The 21,561-nt window shown below is 42.6% G+C and overlaps 1 long non-coding RNA gene and 1 other non-coding gene across 4 annotated transcripts in view; one reads left to right on the plus strand and one right to left on the minus strand.

Annotated features, from left to right (window-relative positions):
- Positions 1–2,549: 2,549 nt before the first annotated feature.
- LOC105370019 (uncharacterized) overlaps positions 2,550–21,561 on the plus strand; it is a 48,831-nt gene continuing 29,819 nt past the window's right edge. For 2 of the 3 annotated variants that reach the window (XR_945424.1, XR_945425.3), the window contains exons 1-2: positions 2,551–2,595; positions 6,547–6,680. This is a non-coding gene — a long non-coding RNA (uncharacterized LOC105370019). Of the gene's footprint in view, positions 2,596–6,546; positions 6,681–21,561 lie in introns of all 3 variants that reach the window. The other variant, XR_945423.3, reaches the window with a different exon arrangement.
- Positions 19,530–19,660, minus strand: LOC124900328 (small nucleolar RNA SNORA38). Its single transcript, XR_007063631.1, has one exon. It is a non-coding gene; the product is annotated as a small nucleolar RNA SNORA38 (small nucleolar RNA).

Genomic DNA, 21,561 nt, shown 5'->3' on the forward strand with positions numbered 1-21,561 from the left:
ACATTGCCAAGACCTCAGAAGCTCCCCGTATTTCCCTCCTCCCTCCTTCCTTTTCCCTGGAGACAACTACTATCTTGCCTTTAACTGAAATCACTTTATTGTTTTCCCTTAGATTCTAACTACCTGTGTTTGCATCATTAAAAATAGTTTAATTTTCCTATTTTTGAACTTTATATGATAGAATTGTAATCTGTTATTATTGTTTTCTTCTTTCACTTGTTATGTTTGAAAGATTCACCCATGTTGTTGCATATAGTTCTAGTCCATTCATGTTTATTGCTGTGTAAGTCATTGTATGAATATACACAATGCATTTATCTATTCTGTTGATGGGCAGTGTCATAATTTCTTTACATGTTGTGGTACTGTGAAATATATATTTGGTCTTTGTTCTGGTTTCCCTTTCTTGGCATACAACTCCTAAAATCATTGCAATCTTCAAAGAGATGAGTGCCTTTTGGTTATGCTAGTAGATTGACTGGTGGGGATGGGAGGTGCTAGCAGAGAAGACCAAGGCAGGATTAGAGGGTTAGGACTTTTCAGCCCCACTCCCTAACCTCTGGAGAGGGGAGAGGGGCTGATCACCCATGGGCAGGGATTTAATCAATCGTGTCTACGTGAAGAAGCTTCCATAAAAAACCAAAAGGAGAGGACTTAGAGAGCTTCCAGAGAGATTAACAAAGGTTTCCAGAAGCTAGAGTGCCTGGAGAGGGCATGGGAGTTCCATGCCCCTGCATACACACCTTGCTCCTATGCGTCTCTTCTATCTGGCTGTTCATCTGTATCCTTTGTAATATCCTTTATAATAAACCAGTAAACATAAGTAAATGTTTTCCTTAGTTCTGTGAGCCGTCTTAGCAAATTAATTGAACCCAAGGGAGAGGGTCACGGAAACTCTGATTTACAGCTGATTGGTCAGAAGCATAGGTAGCAACCTAGTACTTGAAATTGGCATCTGAAGTTGGGGGCAGTCTTGTGGAACTGAGCCCTCAACCTATGGGATCAGATGTTATCTCCAGGTAGATAGTGTCAGAATTGAATTAGAAGACCTCCAGCTGGTGTCCCTTGTAGAACTGATTACTTACTTGATGTGTAAGGATAAAAACCCACATATCTGGTATCAGAAGTATTATACTGATTATGTGGTGAGAGTACAGTAAGAGAAAACAGAGTTTGTGTTTTCTTACATTATAACATGTTAAGGTTGTTAGTGACATTTTCTATTATTGATAATGATGGCATGGATATCTTTACAGACATCCCTAACTATTCAAATAGGACAGACTTCTAGATGCAGAATTTTTGGATCAAAGACTATGGCCACTTTTTAAACTTCCTCCAGAATGGTTGTACCAATTTGCACTTCCACCAGCAAAGTACATTTCTGTCTGTGTCCCCACACTATTGCCAATGTCAGTTTATTTGCATTTGTTTTAATTATGCCAATTTGACAGGAAAAGGATGTTGTCTCAAGATTGTAGAAATTTTCATTTGAGTGCTGGTGAGTCTGGGCACCTCCCTTCTTTACATTTATTGGCCATTTGTATTTGTTCATTTGTGTATTGCCTTTTTATATCTTTTTGCTATTGAAATACTTGATGTGTGTGCCTTTTAATAACAGTTCACCTTAGTGCCTGGCTCTGGTGAAGCATCAGTTAGTGATGTTGGAGTGTTTGGGAAGTACAGGGTGGATGGAGGAGAAGGAGGGGACTTCTCAGAGGCTCATAGATCTCAAGTGGATCTGCCAGGTGGATAGTAATTTGGAAGCTTATTGTTCAGAAACCAAAGAGGAGAGTTGTGCATTCAGCCCCATGCTGGGGCGAAAACAATGCTTCCTGGACCAGAGGCCATTTGAGAACAAGCGATCCTGCTCTGATTGAATCTGCCTTCTACCTCTTTTGTGCCCAAGAAGTCTCTTTATGATGATGACTGCCTGGGTTTCAGGAGTGTGAGGGGGATGTGGAAAAAGGGAGAGAATACATGAAGCTTGGCCTGAAGCTTAGGATTTGAATTGCCAGCATCCAAAACTGAATGTATACCTCCTTTTGTTCTCTCTGCCCTTATTCTTTCTTTGACAGATATCAATAGAACGTTCACGGTGTGCCAGGCAATGTGCTGGATGTTCGAGGTGTTTCATTCTAGTCGGCTGTGTCCCCCACTTCAGTAATTGTCAACTCCATCTTCCCAGTTGTTAAACTAAGAAGTTGAGAGTTATCCATGACTCTGCTCTTTCTGCAATATGTTACGGCCTATGCACCAGAAAATTCTTTCAGCACTGCCTTCAAAATATATCAAGAATATGAAAAATAACCCAAATGTCCATCAAAAGGTAAATGGATAAACAAATGTATTACCTCCATACAATGGAACACTACTCGGGAATAAAAAGGAACAAATGATTGGTACATGAACAACATGAGTGAATCTCAAAATAATTGTGCTTAGGGAAAAAGCCAGACATGAAAGAGTATTGAATGATGCTATTTATAGAAAATTCTAGAACTTAATCTATAGTGACAGAAAGCACATCGTGGGTTGCCTGGTGATGGGCAGAGACAGGCAGGATTTCAAAGTGGCACAGGAGACGTTTGGGAGGTAGGTATGTTCATTACCTGGATTGTGGTAGTTTCTCAGGTATACACATATATCAAATCTTATCAAGTTGTATTCTCAAGTATGTACAGTTTATGAATATGCCAATTCTACCTAGGCAAAGCCATTAAAAAACTTACCCAGAATCTGACCGGTTCTCACCATCCCTGCTGCTGCTGCTTCATCCAAACTACCACCACCACTCACCTGGTTAACCCATGCTCTTCCAGCACTCTCCCTTGCTTCCCCATGCTGCCTTCTCCTCCTCATCCTCCTCCTCCTCTTCCTCCTCCTCCTCCTCTTCCTCCTCCTCCTCCTCCTCATCCTCCTCCTCCTCCTTTTAGACAGAGTCTTACTCTGTCGCCCAGGCTGGAGTGCAGTGGTGCAATCTTGGCTCACTGCAACTTCTGCCTTCTGGGTTCAAGCAATTCTCATGCCTCAGCCTCCCAAGTAGCTGGGACTACAAGCATGCACCACCACGCCTGCTAATTTTTGTATTTTTAGTAGAGATGGGGTTTCACCATGTTGCCCAGGCTGATCTTGAGCTCCTGACCTCAAGTGATTTGCTCACCTCCGCCTCCCAAAGTGCTGGGATTACAGGTGTGAGCCACCGCGCCAGGTCCCCCATGCTGTCTTCTTAACAGAGTCCACAGTGATGCTTTCAAAACAAGGTGATGTCACATCATGCCTCTGTTCAGAACCATCCAATGGCCTCCATGTCTTCCCATCACACCAAGGGCACTTACCTGACACACTGTGAGCGTATTGCCTGTCCTGCCACCATGGTGACATAAGCTCCATGAAAGCAGGTCCATTTTTCTTTTCTCTTTCTTTCTTTCTTTCTTTCTTTCTTTCTTTCTTTCTTTCTTTCTTTCTTTCTTTCTTTTTTTCTTCCTTCCTTCCTTCTTTCTTTCTTACTTTCTTTTTTTTTAATGGAGTCTTGCTCTGTCACAAGGCTGGAGTGCAGTGGCATGATCTTGTCTCACTGCAACCTCCACCTCCCGGGTTCAAGCGATTCTCCTGCCTCAGCCTCCCGAGTAACTAGGACTACAGGTGTGCACCACCATGCCCAGCTAAGTTTTTTTTTGTATTTTTAGTAGGAACAGGGTTTCACCATGTTGGCCAGGATGGTCTCAATCTCTTGACCTTGTGAGCTGCCCGCCTTGGCCTCCCAAAGTGCTGGGATTACAGGCGTGAGCCACCACACCTGGCCAGATCCATTTTTCTTCAGTGAAATAGATAATGAGTACAATAGCAAACTTGAAGAGTTCCCAGACTATTGGCGGAGACATATGTAAATACAGTTTAAAAATAGGGCAATAATTTCTATAATAAAGAACTCCCAATGAAAGCACCTAAACCATCTTAGGGTGAAGTCAAGCATGGTTTCTTGGAAGAAGCAGCATCTAAGTGGAGGCCTGAGAGACACATAGGATGCCATGAGGAAGAAGACAGTTTTTGCCTTCATGGAATGGCATATATCACACCATGTGATAAATGCTTTAGTGGGGAAAGCAAGGGGGCTGAGGAGCAGAGAAGTGGGGGCTTGACCCAGCCTGGGGAGGGTCTGGTAACACTGACAAAGTTTCTTATAATGAATCACTTCCTTGCTGGGATGCGTCCACATCCTTTCACTCAGTCTCCACAATTCCACATTTGGGAGACTGTTGCCTGGATACAGACTGTGGCCTCAGGAACCAAGGAATTGAACCCAGATTTGGGAGATGCCCAGCTGTCACATTTCCCTGTTGCTTGCTTCCTTTTTATTTAAATTCTACTGTACTAATTTCCATCAAGTATAGTTGTTCTCCACCCTCATTTTGTATCAGAATTGCTGGGAACTTAAAAAAAAAAAAAAGATAATTGTGTTCCACCTAGACTGATAGAATCTAAATCTCTAAAGGAGTAGCTTAAACATGAGTATGTTTTAAAAACTCACTGTTTTAAAAAATACCCATTTTTTTAAACTGTTAAAAACAGCTTTTTAAACTGTTTTTAAAACATACCCATGTTTAGGCTACTCCTCTAGCCTATCTACTTTAAAACAGCTAGCTACTAGCTAGCACTAGTAGCCTAAATATAGGTTTAGGGTTGGGTGGGTTTTTTTGTTTTGTTTTGTTTGTTTGTTTTAACTCACTGTGCAGTGAGTTTAAAAAATTCATTGTGGGCCGGGTGCAGTGGTTTACAACTAATCCCAGCACTCTGGGAGGCTGAAACAGGAGGATTGCTTGAGCCCAGGAGTTCAAGACCATCCTGGACAACATAGTGAGACCCCATATCTACAAAAAATAAGAAAAAATTAGCCAGGACTGGTGATGCATGCCTGTAGTCCCAGATACTTGGGAGGCCAAGGTGAGAGGATTGCTTGAGCCCAGGAAATTGAGGCTGCAGTGAGCTGATTTTGCTACTGCAGTCTGGCCTGGGTGACAGTGCAAGATCTATCTCAAAAAAAAAATAATAGTTGTGCACCTGAGAACCACAGATGTTATTCAAGGGTCAGGGGCAGTTGTCTTACTTGGAGTCCAGTCATTCACTTATTCCTTCATTTCATTCCTGCCTCCGGGCCTTTGCACTTAACCTTTCCCTCTACCTGGAATATTCTTCCTTTGGTTTTCTGCACATCTCTGTGCTTCTCATTCTTTGAGTCTCAGTTCAAATGCAGAGGCCCTCACTGACTATCTTCCTTCTCCATCTAAAACACTTTCTCTCTATTCTCTCCACCCTGGCGAATTTCTCCCTATCACATCACTTGATTTATTTCCTTCACAGCACTTATCATAACTTGAAATGATCTTATTTACTGCTGTGTCTCTAACACTAAAGAAATGAACCATTTCAGTAAAGAGTGAAGAGATCTGAAACACATAAAGAAAGCACTTAGTGCAGTGCCCTTAACATGGTAAGGATTAGAAGATGGTTGCAATGTTTATGAATGAATTAATAAATGATTATTATGAATGAAGCAATATACAGGCCTATGATGAAAAAGATTAGCTCTCTGACATATAGAAAATGCTGTGAGACACTGAGCCACTACCTCATTTTTATTAATCAGTTAGATGCTAAACTCTCTGAAGGCAGGGACTGTGTCTTGTTCATTATGATACAACCAGAACTTAACAGAGTGCCCGGCATAACAAGATGTTCTGATTTAGAAACTGCTGGGTTACAAATAACAGAATCTCACTCAAGCTAGTACAAGCAGGAAAAAAAACGTATTTATCAGAAGAATAAAAGAGTCTCAGAGAACCCAACAATAGGAAGGGGAAGTGGGCCAATTATGGCACTTGAACCAAAAACCAAAAAGTGACCAGGAACCTAGCAGTTTTCTTGTGTCTCTCCAAAGCTGTGTGATCTTCGTTTCTTTCTGTTTGCAAACTGGTTTTCTCCCCTCCATGGGCACATGGTTGTTCCCAGCCCAGGCTTTACAATCCCCACCTGCTTCAAATGTCCTACACAGATTGAATAGTTTGCGTTCCGAATTCTCAAGGAAGAGAAAATCTGATTGACTTTAGCTCCTGCCAATCATTCACTCCCAGGCCAATCAACTAGAGCCAGGGGGTGGGAAGAATGGATAGGATCATGTTGCCTGCTGCTTAACTAGCAGAGACTGGAAATACCTCTTTGAAAAAATGGAGTGTTAGTTCAGATTTTCCCCTGAAGGCAGAGCTTGAGAGAAGAGCTTGCATGCAGGTATACTGGTTGGGAAGAGTTGCCAGGGAACAGGTGAAGGTGGCTTGGAAGATTGAAATAGGGAAAGCCAGTCTAAAGGTGTGTTACTGAGCTAAGATGTGGGCAACTAGGGCTCAAATTCAATAGGGCCCCTCTGAGAACTGTGTAAAATGCATCTCAATGGCCTCCTGAGAATGGGTGAGGGGCGAATTTATCCACCAGCTCCTGTCCTCCTTTGGTCAAGGGTTGCCCTAAGGGGTGTTAACTCCATCACATTTCCAGTTTTGCATATGCACCAGCAAGGCTCTTGGATCAAGCCCTACAGCAGAAAGCAAGCAGTATGTGGTGCCGTGGAAGCAAGATGCTAAGAAAATACACCTGCGAACAGTGATGTATCAATGGCTGGAGCGAGACAGGTGGGCCAAGAAGATATGAGGTAGAGCATATGAATTGTCTAGCACAGGAGGAATGAGCAGGTTGTCTATGAGAGCATAAGGGTGGGTGAAAATAATTCTTATCTCCAATGTCTGCTCAATGAATGTTTTCTGAATAAGTGAATGAAAAAGAGAGAAAGGTTCTTGGAGGAAGCAAGATTTTAAAACTCCCTTCAGTGTATGAAGACTGAGTCTGGAGGGCATGTAAATAATAATGATTTGTTCGCAAGTATTTTTCTACCAAGGACTATTAATTTTATTGATAAGTCTGTGATGTAGTTTGGACGGTAGATGATATTATCCCCATTTGGGGATGAAGAACAGACCTAGCCAGGCTGAGCATTTATTCTAGGTGCCTGATGTCTGCATCGAAGCAAAGTTCAAGTTTTCGTCGGCTTTGCCCTCCTGTAAATTATGTGGCTGCAGCAAGACTACAAGCTTATCTTAAGTACTAACTTCACCTCCATTTTCATACTCCCTCCTCTGTTGTAATTCAGCACAGTGAATACAGAGGCTGTTAAGATCTAAAGTAGTTTCTAATTTTGTTTCATTATGACTATGAATGCAACCCTCAGGACCCATCCCTACAGTCTTAACTAAACTTAGTCTTTCAAGCTATGAAAAGGTGAGATAAAGATCTGAATGGAGACTCCAGTGGAGGTGGAGGGCTGGGCTGACTCAGCCTCGATAAACCTGCAGTCTGCAGTCGAGAAATCAATAGAGCCTTTTGGATGTTGCCATTATACGACAAGGAAAAAAATTTCAAAAATAAATTGTGGCATGGAGTAAGATCAGATGAAGCAGATAGCAGGTTTTGCTGACTGTGGGGGCTGTGTTCGGGATGGCACAGGAAGGAGAGAATTAGCGATTTAATGAACTCACTTCTCTCCCTGCTTTTGCTATGCAAGTGTTTTCTCACTGATTGAAAAAAAGACTGAGGCCAAAGGTGAGCCAACAAATCCCAGTTTCTGCTTGAACTTCACCCCAAAGCTGACCCTCCCTTGAAATCTAGGATCAGCTTAGACTTGCAGCTTAGACCAAGAGGACTTGCAGAGTGGTTAACCCCTGTAGCCTTGAAGTCATGGATTTGAGTCAGGCTTCACCACACTGTATGCCATTGAGCAAGTTATTTCACCTGTGTATGGGCCTCAGTTTCCTGATCTTGATCGGGCTGCACACTGACTGGGGCTGGAGGAGAGCCATTGCACAAGCGAAATGTTAGGATGTTATGAGAAGAGGAGGAGATGAAGGCTGAGCAAGAACAAGCAGCAAGGGTATGCCAGGCACAGATTTGACTCTTCCTGTCTCGACTCCAGCATTTTGGGAACCCTCAAAAATGCCCCCACTGAGGTGGTCTGTGGTTAAAGTTCATATATTGATTGGTGCAGTTTTTCAATGGTAATAACTGCAGTTACTTTTGCACCAACCTAATGAGTTCATTTAAAACCTTCTTGAAGGTGCTGATTGCAGGGTTTTGCTGATTAGCAGGAGGCAGATTGGGTGCAGAGAACAACTGCAGGATAAGACAAGGATTCCCCTAAGGAGGACTCACCTGCCCCTCGGCTCCTCTGGGCTCTGCTCCCTGCCTAGTCTCAGGGCCAGGTGTTTCTTCGACTTGCCGCAGGTGACCTCTCTGGACTTTATTTCTTGCCTGCCTACACTGTTGTTACCTGCGAGACCTACCTGTCTTTTTTTTTTTTTTTTTTTTTTTGAGACAGAATCTCCCTCTGTCGCCCAAGCTAGAGTGCAGTGGCGCAATCTTGACTCACTGCAACCTCCGCCTCCTGGGTTCAAGTGATTCTTCTGCCTCAGCCTCATGAGTAGCTGGGACTACAGGTGCGCACCCCAATGCCAGGCTAATTTTTTTGTATTTTTAGTAGAGACGGGGTTTCACCATATTGGCCAGGCTGGTCTCGAGCTCCTGACCTCGTGATCTGCCCACCTTGGTCTCCCAAAGTGCTGGGATTACAGGTGTGAGCCACTGTGCCCGGCCTGCCTGATTTCTCTTAATCCTGGCCCCTCCCTTCTGGTTAGCTCAGTATTGCTAATAATGATACTTTAAGTGTTGATTAGGATATGACTACCCCCAAAGCAACACCAAAAGCCTCATACAAGCTGAGGATCGGGTCTAAGATGTGCTCCCTCTGATCTCCCCACAAAGCTCTTGTGGGTGGGTGTGGCTGGTTTTCAGGCACAGGATTCTGAATGGGATCAGCCTGTGAATACAGCTTCTTCCTCTCCCTGTCCCATGACTTCACCCAGCATTCTTCTACCAATCAGTGGCTTCCAGACTTCAGTCCACTCCAGAAACCTTAAAAAACTTTAACCTCAAATTCCTTGAGGAGATGGATTTGAGATTTCAGTGACCCTTTAATTAAACCTCTTTCTCTTCTGCAGCCTGGTGTCTTGTCTTGACTTGCTGGGCACGTCGGGCAATGAACCTATTACAGTTACAGGGGTGTTAACCCCCTGCACTTCCAGGGTTTCCCCTGCCTAAGGCTGAACAGGTTCTTGCAGCTTTAGAAAAAGCATTGAGGCAGAGAAGCAGAGAGGTTCTGGGTTCTGGAAAGATACTTTAGGTGGGATGATGTCAGCGTGCCACAGTCAGTGGAGAGCTGAGGGGATGTGACTTGGGCACCAGAAGCATCTGTTACCTCAGCAAAGCTGCTGTGTGCAAGATCAAGACTTGCAGATGTTACTGGGTCAGGAGGAAGCAAATGAAATGGCATTACCTACAGGTATTTAAAAGTCAAAATAGGCCGGGCGTGGTGGCTCACGCCTGTAATCTCAGCACTTTGGGAAGCGGAGGTGGGTGGATCACTTGAGTTCAGGAGTTCAGGACCAGCCTGGCCAACATGGAGAAATCCCGTCTCTACTAAAAATACAAAAATTAGCCGAGCGTGGTGGGACATGCCTGTAGTCCCAGCTACTCAGGAGGCTGAGGCAGGAGAATTGCTTGAACCTGGGAGGCAGAGGTTGCAGTAAGCTGAGATTTCGCCACTGCACTCCAGCCTGGGCACAGAGCGAGACTCCTGTCTCAAAAAAATAATAAATAAACAAATGTCAAAATGAATAAAAGTTCTAGAACTTTCTAATCTTAAAAACCTATTATGGTAACACACACGCATGCTCACACACAAGAGACTTCCCAGTTCTCTCTACTGCCTCTTCACCTCCCGAATTACTTTCTTCTGCTGTTCGGAAAAGAAAACATTTCTGCAGCCCGTGCCCTGAGGAGGTGGGTGCTTCTCAGGATTTCCAAGCAGCCCTTACTGGAAACCCAAGTGTATTAGGCAATTCTTGCATTGCTATAAAGCACTACCTGAGACTGGGTAATTTATAAAGAGAAGAGGTTTAGGCTGGGCACGGTGGCTCATGCCTATAATCCCAGCACTTTGGGAGGCCAAGACGGGTGGATCACCTGATGTCAGGAGTTCAAGACCAGCCTGGCCAACATGGTGAAACCCCGTCTCTACCAAAATTCAAAAATTAGCTAGATGTGGTGGCGGGAGCCTATAATCCCAGCTACTTAGGAGGCTGTGGCAGGAGAATCTCTTGAACCCGGGAGGCAGAGGTTGCAGTGAGCCAAGACTGTGCCACTGCACTCCAACCTGGGCGACAGGGCAAGACTCTGTCTCAAAAAAAAAAAAAAAGAAAGAAAGAAAAGAAAAGAGGTTTAATTGGCTCATGGTTCTGTAGGCTTTAGAAGGAGCATCATACGAACATCTGCTGGTTTCCAGTGAAGCCTCAGGGAGCTTTCATCCATGGCAGAAGGTGAAGGAAGAACATACACATCACGTGGCAAAAGCAGGAGCGAGGGAGAGAGAGAGTGGCAGGGGGAGAGGTGCCACATACTTTTAAATCACCAGATCTCGTGAGAACTCACAACCACGAAGACAGCACCAAGCCATGAAGAATTCGCCTCCATGACCCAGACACCTCCCACCAGGACCCACCTACAGCAATGGAGATGACAATTCAACATGAGGTTTGGGCAGGGACAAATATCCAAACTATATCACCAAGCGTTTAAAAAAAATTAAAAACTTGTGTACACATGTTAAAAACACAGAACCTCAGCATCTCAGGGGCAAGACCAATTAGCATGGGGTTGTTGTATATCCATTCAAAGGGAAGTGTCAGAGGTCTGATAGTTTGGACCCTGCCTATTTAAGGCCTGTGTTGGGTTGTCATCCACTCAACCGCATTTTCTCATCCCCATTTCCTCACCCTGTGGCCTTCATGCTTTGTTTCCCTCTCCAGGTTCTGTTCTGATCTTGGCTAGGAACCCTGATGCCTGTCTGTTCTGGCATTGTCCTGCATGCTAGGCATGTCAGAGACAGGAAAGATGGTGAGAGAGACAGCCTCTTAGGTGCACAGAGGTCCCATTTTCTAAATGGATATTCATTTGGATAGCGAAATGAAGCTCTGAGTTTGACTTGATACTCTGAGCTTCCCTCCTAGATAGGAGCATCAGTGATAACTCCCCATGTGATCAATGAAAACGCCGAGGCCCTGAGGGGGGAAAAAAGACTCAGCCCAAATCCCAGAAAAGCATTCATGGCCAGGCACATAGTAGGCACTCAATAGTCACTTGATTATTGTGAGAGGCCGTTTATTATTATAGCTGAGAGCTCAGGGTTTGAGGTTGGATAGACTGGTGTCATGCCCTAACTCTGCCTTTTCAGTAGCTAAGTGCTATTGAGCAGATGACTTAGCTCTCTAAGACTTAGTATTCCTGACTATAAAATGAGAATAATAACAGCACTTGTGGGTTGTTGAGAAAATTCTGCAAGATTGTGAGCTCTGCAGAATGTTTGACAGATAGTAGAAGTTACGTGATGATGATGATGATGATGATGAAGAATTAACCAGTCCTGAGCACCTGGGTAGTTAGATCATTCCTCAGCCATCTGACCTCTGAGAGTTTAGCAACCTCCCCATCTACCTTGCAGGTGAGCAGAGGCAGAGGGCTCCCAATGCTGTTTTTCTGGCTTGCCGATAATTGTTTCTCATACAAGCCAGTGTTTTATTGATTCACTATTGATTTTTGCGTGGGGCCAGGGAAATTCTTGGTTCATAAAGACAAAGGCAGCATTTTCCAGCCCAGGGGTCCCTGGTGGGTGTCAGGGGCATCACTTCCTGACTTGAATGGCTGACCTCTGCCTTGCTTGGGACAAATTCTTAATCAGAATCAGCCCTTCCCAATGGCCCCATGTCTCTCTTGTGTCCCTTTATTGCTTCCATCAACCCTTCCCCCACTATCCCCTTGCTGGCTCCGTTTGACCTTTAATAAGCACTGCTTTTGTGCAGAGCTGGTGGTGAGTTATTGCCATGTGAGCAGCTCCCCAGGGCAGGTCACACCCCAGCCCCTGGCCTCACTGCAGCTTGTAAGGGAAAATTACATTTTGATCTACATTCCTCATTTCCATTCTCTGTCATCTGGCTTTGGAGACAAAAGGAAGAAAATAATGTTTTCTTGTCCCCTCTCTCTGTCTTCCTCCTGGGTGATGCCTGTGCACACTTTCCTCTCCTCCCCCAGCTCTTTCTTCTTTCTGTTCAGTTGGGGAGAGAAAATGACCTTGTCGGGGATCTTCACCTACATCATCCACTCCTGGAAACCTGGGTTATCAAAAAAGCCCCAGCAGTCAGGGCAATATAACCCCTGAAAGTTGGAGATGGGCCTTGAGAAGAATAAAAAAAGCCATTTATCTTCAAGCCTTCCGTGACTGCTCGAGACCAGGCAGGGCTCTCCTATTAGATTGTTCTCACCACACCGTGCACCTCTTCTCTCTCCTTCACTTTTTTCTACATAACACAAAATTCACTTTTTAAACCATTTTAAAGTATACCATTCAGTGGTTTATTGTATATTCACAATGCTCTGCAACCATCACTGCTATCCAATTCCAGAACATTCTCATCACCCCAAAAAGAGGTCCTGTACTCATTAAGCAGTCACTCCCCATTCGCTCTCCCCAGCCTCTGGCAAGCACTAATCTACTTTCTATCTCTATGGATTTGGTTATTCTGGACATTTCATATAAATGGAATTACATAATATGTGGCCTTTTGTGACTGGCATTTTTTACTTAGCAAAATATTTTCACAGTTAATCCATGTTGTGGCATGTGTCAGCACCTCATTCTTTTTTATGGCTGAATAATATTCCATTGTATGGAAATACCACATTTTGTTTATCCATTCATCCACTGATGAACATTTGGAGCATTTCCACTTTTTAGCTATTATAAATAATACTGCTATGAACATTTGTGTACAAACTTCTGTTTGAACATATGTTTCCAATTCTCCTAGGTATATAGCTAGGAATGGAATTTCTGTGTCATATGGTAGTTCTTTGTTTGACTTCTTGAGTACAAGGGTTCTAATTTTTCCGCATCTTCACCAACAGTTGATAATTTCCTCTTTTTTTGATTGTAGCCATCCTAGTGGGTGGGAAGTGATATCTCTGTGGTTTTCATTTGCATTTGCCTAATAACTAATGATGTTAAGCATCTTTCCATGTGCTTAGTGCCATTTATATATCTTCTTTGGAGAAATGTCTATTCAGTTTTTTCTCCCACTTTAAAATTGGGTTGTTTGGTTTTCTGTTGTTGTTTTTGTTGAGTTATAAGACTTGTATATTCTAGATACTGTATTCTTATCAGATACGTGATTTGCAAATATTTTATGCAATTCTGTGGATTGCCTTTTCATTTTTTTTTTTTTTTTGAGACAGGGTCTCACTCTGTCACTCAGGCTGGAGTGCAGAGGCATGATCTTGGCTCACTGCAGCCTCCGCCTCGTGGGCTCAAGCAATCCTCCTGCCTCAGCCTCCCAAAGTGCTGGGACTACAGGTGTGAACTACTGTGCCCAGCCACCCATTTTCACTTTTTTAATACCATCCTTTGATGCATGACAGTTTTTAATTTTCATGTTCAATTTACTTATTTTCTCTCTTGTTGCTTGTGTTTTTGTTTTCATACATATGAAAGTGTTGCCTAATCCAAGGTTATGAAGATTTACACTTATGGTTCCTTGTAAGAGTTTTATGAGTTAACTTTTACATTTAGGTCTCTGATCATTTTTGAGTTGATTTTTGTATTCATCTTAGGTAGGGTTCTAACTTCATTCTTTTGCATGTGGCATATGGTTGTCTTAGCACCGTATGCTGAAAAGATTATTCTTTCCTCCATAGAATGGTATTAGTACCCTTGTTGAAAATCAGTTGATGATAAACACGTGGGTTTATTTCTGGGCTTCCAATTCTGCTCCTTTGATCTATGTGTCGATCATTTCCGGTGTCACATTGTTCTGCTTATTGTAGCTTTGCAGTCAATTTTGAAATTGGGAAATGAACATCCTCCAACTTTGTTTTTCTTTTGTAAGTTTGTTTTGGGGTACCTTGCAATTTCATATGAATTTTATGGCCAACTTGTCCATGTCTGCAATAAAGGCAGGCAGCTGGAATTTTGGTAGCAACTGCATTGAATCTGTAGATTAGGTTGGTGAGTACTGCCATCTTAACAATATGAAGTGTTCCAATCCATGAAAATGGGATATGTTTCCATTTCTTTAGGTCTTCTTTAATTTTTTATAACAATGTTTTGTATTTTTCAATGTACAAGAATGCTTTCTTTAAAAAAATTATAGTCATTACTATAAGATTTGTTGTGTGATTAGAGCTCAGAGTCTGTCTTTCCAGGCTACAGGCTTCCACAGGGCAGCAAGCATTTCATTTTTGTGTACCATTGTGGCAGATATGGAGATGCACTGCTCAGATCTTCCTTCAAGAAAGGACTCATTGCCCAGTTTCAATGAGTGAGGCTAACTGACAACCTCCAGCTGTTTGCTTAATCAGTATTTGCCTCAATTTTTAAACCAAAGTTATAATTCTCAGGAGAACCCCTGGCCAATGATTGAGCAAGATGATGAGAGCTGAGGGCATGCTATTCTCAAGACAGCCCCTAATCTATAGCTCAGAAAGGTGGTGGATGGTACAAGACCTGGTCATTTCTGCTCAGTGGGTCACTCCTCTAAAGGGCAGTGCTTATTCCAGAGCCTCCAGTTTGGCTAGCAGAGACTTTGTCAGGTCCGCAGTTGGGTCTGATGTCTCCTCCTGCTCAGTTCAGCTTCCTCCCTTTCCTTTTTGCATGTAGAACTCCCCAGTCACCCCTTTGAATTCCTAAGTCTCTCCTGACTTCTGATTCCTGGGGAAGCCAACTTGCATGAAATCATGTTATTCTCAGTATCTGGCTCATTGCTTGGCATATAATTCAATTTCTAGAAACACTTCCAAATAGAAAGAAAAGCACTCCTGATGTGGAGCCTTGTGCATATAAGAAAACTCTGATTTTTTTTTTGTTGCCATCGATGTATAATTTTTCATCCTTGGTTCACTTGGTAGGAAGTCCAAGAATAAAAATTAATGAAGATGCATCACCTTTTTAGAAGTTTTGGCAAAATGAAGCCTCTTGATAGTGGGGTCAATTAGGATGATAAAGGGCCTAGAATTGTGTGGTCTGAGGAAAGAGAAGGTTATTATGGGAGAAGATGAGTCCTCAGTGTGGACCACTGTGGTCAGAGTAGAGTGACAGCATAGGACAGTGCTAGGAAAGGAGGCTAGAGAGCTAACTTCAAATTTGAAAGGTGGAACATTTTTCTGTGTTGCTCCTCAAGGAAAAACTTGAATGCTAACTTCTTATCTTCCAGGTCTCAGATTAAATGTCACTTCCTCCAGGAAGCCTTCCCTGAACTTCCTCCCCTCTACCCCCAAGACTACATGAGGTCATCATGCATTCCTGTCATAACTCTGCACTTCTTTGAAACATTTTGTGAAGGCAGATCTAGGTCTGATTCATTTCCTCGTGGTATTTCTTCAGCAACAAGAACAGTTTCAGGCTTACAATAGATGCCTTATACACATAGGATGAATAAAAAAAACAAAACAAACAAAAAACAAATGAGCTAGTGGTGAAAGTTGAAAAAGGAACAGATGTGGTTTTCATTAAAACAGTTCATAACACCAAGCCATGTCTATAGTAGAAGGGGTCGCTTCCAAGAGCTGGCTGAAAAGAGTAAGGACACAAACCCAAGGCTTTTGCCTTCTGGTCCTGTGAATTTTTGTGGCACCAAAGCTTCCTTGAACCTACAGCTTGTAGCCTCCTGCATTCTTCTTGCTTCTGTCTGCATCTTTCTCCATCCACTAAGAGAGACTTGAATTGTTCTCTAAAAAGGAACAATGTGGAGTAAAATAGATTTTCCATCAGCTAGGAAAACTAATGCAAGTTGGAATATTTAAGAGCTACCCAGAAGAATAAATTTTTGGCTTCTCTCAAGCTCTAATACATTTCCCCAGTATGAGAATTTACCATTTACCATTTACTGAGCACTTACTAGGCAGAAGACACTGTGTAATCAATGTGACATACAAACTATGAATCTTCAAATTCCTCTGCTTGATGGGAATTGTTACCTCCCAAATATGAAAATTTCGTGGTTTTCTTCAACTACCTTGGAATTCAGTGCTAATATCCCACTGTTTAAGGGAGCCAGTCTAGGCATACGACCAGCTTGGTAGTGGCTTTCTACTATAGGATCAGTAGACTGACTCCAGACAGTGGGCCGAGTGTCTTCTTGCACCATTCAATGTGACTCAGATGATTTTGATAAACAGCCCAAGAAACTAGATGTGACATTTATGTTTGGACTTAGTCCCACAACCATGTAACACCCAGAAGGCTCTAACAAGCAAAAGTAAAACTTTAATTTTATTATACAGATTTTTTTTTACAGTCTTGAATAAAGGGGAGTGACATTCAGAAGTACCTCCCAAATCATCAGAGAGAGAGAGAGATTCAATTATGTTTGCTGTCATTTGCGTTATCTGTACTTTGAAGAATGCTAATTTTCTAAAAATTGGTTACCTGAGTATGGTAAAAAAAGAAAAAGAAAAAGAAAAGTATCTCCCTAATCAAACAAGCTTTAGTTCCCTGAAAAGCTTAGTGGTGGGAAAATTCAAGCCCTTTTCTTTTCTGGGAAATTGGGTTATGTTGTATAAGGTCGCCAGTGCAAGTGTGAGAGTCCTGATAAATTTTCTTTTGCATTTATAAAAGGAAGCAAAAGTGACATCTGAATAAGGAAGCCATCCAGGAGAGTTTGTGCATATAAAATTATTCATAATGGATTATATATAATTAATCTTCATGCCTCATTCTCAGCTCCCCAGAAAATGTGCGTCTACCTTTGCAAACTTGCAGGCAATTGGTCAGAATGGTGAGAGTGAGTGTTAATCTTGAGGAAACCCAGTCCCAGCCAAGTGTAGATGCTTTAGTCAGGCTTCTTTTGATTGGAGTCAATAGAAACCCCCTCCACTTAGCTCCAGCACAATGGAGGCTTTGCTGTAAGATGCAGAAAGATCTCTTGGGAGTCCAGAGAAAGCAGAACTGTAGTCCTCAGGAAGGACAAGGTGCATACCAGGAACCAAGAGGGTGGTGGTAAGAAAAATAGGCTCTTCCAATCGCTTGCTGTGTGACCCCAGGTAAGTTACTTTGCTTCTCTGTGCCTTAATCTCAACAGGGGAGATGATAGTGTATATACTGCCATTGTCAATATAAAATGAGTTAATAATTGTGCTACGCTTAGCACATACTATATGCTCAATAAATATTAGCTGTTATTATTATAAACTTTTAAAAATTACATTTGTGCAGCTGTTTCATCTTCCTTTTGGTTGCTCATGACTTCAGCCTTTACGGTGGCTCCTGAGTCCACCTGAGATTTTAAGTTCTAGTGCCTGTAACTCCCCAGAAATGATGCCTCCTCTCAGTTGAAGTTGCTAAGAGGAATAATCTGATTGACTCATCCCACCCAAATCACAGGCCCTTGCCAGCTCATGGCTGGGATCCCTCTGGGACAGAGATCTCCCTGGTCCTTCTGTCAGGGGATGGGGTCCCATCAGCAGGGTTGTAGGTGAGGAGTTTCTCATTAGGGGGCATGGGTGAGCAACAGGCAGCTGGAGCACATCTAGGAGCACAGGTGTGGTCACTTCTGGCTGGGAGGTAAAGGAAGACCTTTCGTGGGCTTCAGGAACAGGATTATGTGTGGGGCTGTAGTTATCAGTGTAAATTGGAAGCAGTAGTTAGGGATGAACCATCATGGTAGTTTCAACTTACTTATAAATGGAATAACAAATATGTATGTATATACAGTATGTGTCATTTAACGATGGGGATATGACTGAGCCTGTGTAGCTCTTAGGCTACAAACCTGTACACCATGTTACTGTGCTGAACACTGCGGGCAATTGTAACACAATGGTAAGTATTTGTGCATCTAAATATAGAAAAGATACGGTAAACATACAATATGAAAAACAAAGGGTATGCCTGTATAGGGCACTTGCCATGAGTGAAACTTGCAGGACTGAAAGCTGCTCTGGGTGAGCCAGTGAGTGAGTAGTGAGTGAGCATGAAGGCCTAGGTCATTGCTGTACACTACTGTAGACTCTGTAAACACCATACACACAGGTTACACTCAATTTATTTAGTTTTTAATTGTCTTTCTTTAATAATAGATTAACTTTAGTTTGCTGCAACTTTATTTTGTAAATGTTTTTAGTTTTTTAAAACTTTTTGCCTTTTTTGTAATAACACTTAGCTTAAAACACAAACACGGCCAGGCGCGTGGCTCACGCCTATAATCCCAGCACTTTGGGAGGCCCAGGCAGGTGGATCACGAGGTCAGGAGATCGAGACCATCCTGGCTAACACAGTGAAACCCCATTTCTACTAAAACTACAAAAAAATTAGCTGGCGTGGTGGTGGGCGCCTGTAGTCCCAGCTACTCAGGTGGCTGAGGCAGGATAATGGCATGAACCCGGGAGGCAGAGCTTGCAGTGAGCCAAGATCGTGCCACTGCACTCCTGCCTGTGTGACAGAGTGAGACTCCATCTCAAAAAAAATATATATATATATAAAAAATATATATTATACAGGAAATATATATAATATGTATTATTATATTATATATTAATATATATATTAATATATAATATGCATTATTATATTATACATAATATATATAATATGTATTATTATATTATATATAATATATTATATATATGAAATAGGATCTCACTCTGATGCCCAGGTTGGAATGCAGTAGCACAATCATAGCTCAATGCAGCCTCACACTCCTGGACTCAAGCAATCCTCCCATGTCAGCCTCCCAAGTAGCTAGTACTACAGATGCACGCCACCATGCCAGGCTATTTTTATTTTTCATAGCGACAGGGTCTCGTATGTTGCCCAGTCTGGTCTTGAATTCCTGGCCTCAAGTGATCCTCCTGCCTTGGCCTTCCAACATGCTAGGATTACTGGCATGAGCCACTGCATCCAGCCACTTTCTTTCTTTATATCCTTATTCTATGAATTTTTAAAATTTTTTAAAACTTTTTTTTGTTGAAAACAAAAACACAAATATATACATTATCTTAGGCCTACACAGGGTCAGGATTCTCAACATCATTGTTTTCCACCCCCATATCGTGTCCTACTGGAAGGTCTTCAGGGGGAATAACATGCATGGAACTGTCATCTCCTATGATAACAATGCTTTCTTCTGGAATACCTCCTGAAGGAGCTGCCTGAGGCTATTTTATGGTTAACTTTTAAAAACTATAAGTAGAAGGAGTACACTAAAAAAATAATGACAGGAAGTATGGTAGAATAAATATATAAACCAGTTACAGTCATTTATTATCAAGTATGTACTGTACATAATTGTATATGCTATGCTTTTGTAAAATATTTTTTCATTTTTTTTCTTCTATGTGGCATGGTTGATGTTGAGCCTGTGATGAGAAAGCTGGCCCCAGATTTCTCCAAGTCCACATTTCTGTCCCTCCAATTCTTACATGTCCAAAGACAAGGAATTATAGACATGCCTTTGTAGGAGGGCGTGTGTGCTATACTTTCATATGACTGGAAGTGCAGTAGGTTTGTTTACATCAGCATCACCACAAAAACTTGAGTAATGTATTGCAGTACAGCATTACAATGGTTAAGACATCACTGGGCAATAGAAAGTTTTTAGCTCCATTATAATCTTACGGAACCACCATCATGTATGTGTTCCATTGACTGAAATGTCATTATGCAACACATGACTCTGTGTGTGTGTGTGTGTGTGTGTGTGTGTGTGTGTTTTCCTTCTGAGAGAGGGAGGGCAACAGAATTTGATGAATCTAGTTGAAGGGTATATGTGTTCAGTAAACTATTCTTTTAACTTTACTGTAGGTTTTAATTTTTTCAAAATTTAAAGAATGAGAAAAATCACAGTTTAACAAATAAAGCAAATATTCTCATAATAGATACAAATAAGTATGTAAATGCACAAAGTGGGTAGTAAGCAAATGAGCTCAGGACTCAGCAAAGCCCAGATCTGCTTATCTCTTCTCTAAGTGATATTTTTCTCTCTGAGCTTCCACTTCTGCATCTGTTAAATGGGCTCACATTACTGCCTCCTAGCCTGCTGAGGGGTTTCATTTATTGACAGATATGCCATGCTGGACTGATGTTCAGCTGGTAGGCATTGGTATAGCTGTGCTGGTTATTTGCAGCTAGCATCCACTCTGACTGGTTGGGTTGTCCTGGTTGTGAAAAATATGTTTGAATACTGTTCTTGATACGTGGCATGTAGTAAGAGACAAATTCGTGGACGCTGTCTTTAGTGCCATCATTATTATTATGATCATTTGCAGCATCATTGCTGAGCGCCTTTGGTCTCCCCACCCTAGGGATTTGTAAAGAAAGAGGCTTTGGGAATAACTGCTGGATTGGGTGGGGGAGGTGGCCTCGGCACTGAGTGTTTTAGGCACCTCAGGGCACAATATTCTAACACGAAGTAGATAAAGAGATTTCAGCAGCACCTCAGGCTGGGGTGAAGTGTGCCCTCCTGGCCCAGAAGAGATATACTCTATTTGCAAACTAAATGCAGGTACAGGCTGAAAGAGCAAAGGATTCCTTGGGGCTGCAGGGAGGTGGAGGGATGGAGGCTGAGACCTTGGGCCTGTGTCTGTGGGCTAGAAGGAGAAAATGTTGCAGATAGGAGGCCAGTTGTGCATTCCTGAGTGGGCCCCAGGTACAACTGGGTGGGATACAGAAGGGTGTATATTTCTACTCTTTCTGACTGTTGCCTTGAGATCCTTTACAATAATATTGATATCTGGCATGTAGTAGGAGTCAAATTCATGTACACTGTATTTTTTTTTTTTTTTGAGACGGAGTCTCACAATGTCTCCCGGGCTGGAGTGCAGTGGCACAATCTTGGCTCACTGGAACCTCCAACTCCCGGGTTCAAGAGATTCTCCTGCCTCAGCTTCCCGAGTATCTGGGACTACAGGCACCCACCACCACACCCAGCTATTTTTTTGTATTTTCAGTAGAGACAGAGTTTTACCATGTTGGCCACGATGGTCTCAAACTCCAGACCTCATTATTCGCCTGCCTCAGCCTCCCAAAGTGCTGGGATTACAGGCGTGAGCTACCACGCCCAGCCCCATGTACACTGTCTTTAGTGCCACATCATCACTATGATTATCTTCAGCATCATCCCTGAGTGCCTTTGGTCTCCCCACCCTAGGGACTTGTAAAGAAGGAGGCTTTGGGAATAACTGCTGAATTGGGTGGGCACAGCTATGCCAATGCCTACCAGCTGAACACCAGTCCTGCATGGCACTCATTCTTGAGTGGGCCCTGGGTACAAGTGGGCTGGATACAGAAAGGTGTTTAAATCTGATGCTGTTTAAACCCATATTTCTACTCTTTCTGACTGTAGCCTTGAGATCCTTTAAAATAAG

Source organism: Homo sapiens, chromosome 12 (assembly GCF_000001405.40).
Source record: "Homo sapiens chromosome 12, GRCh38.p14 Primary Assembly".
Classification (NCBI taxonomy): domain Eukaryota; kingdom Metazoa; phylum Chordata; class Mammalia; order Primates; family Hominidae; genus Homo; species Homo sapiens.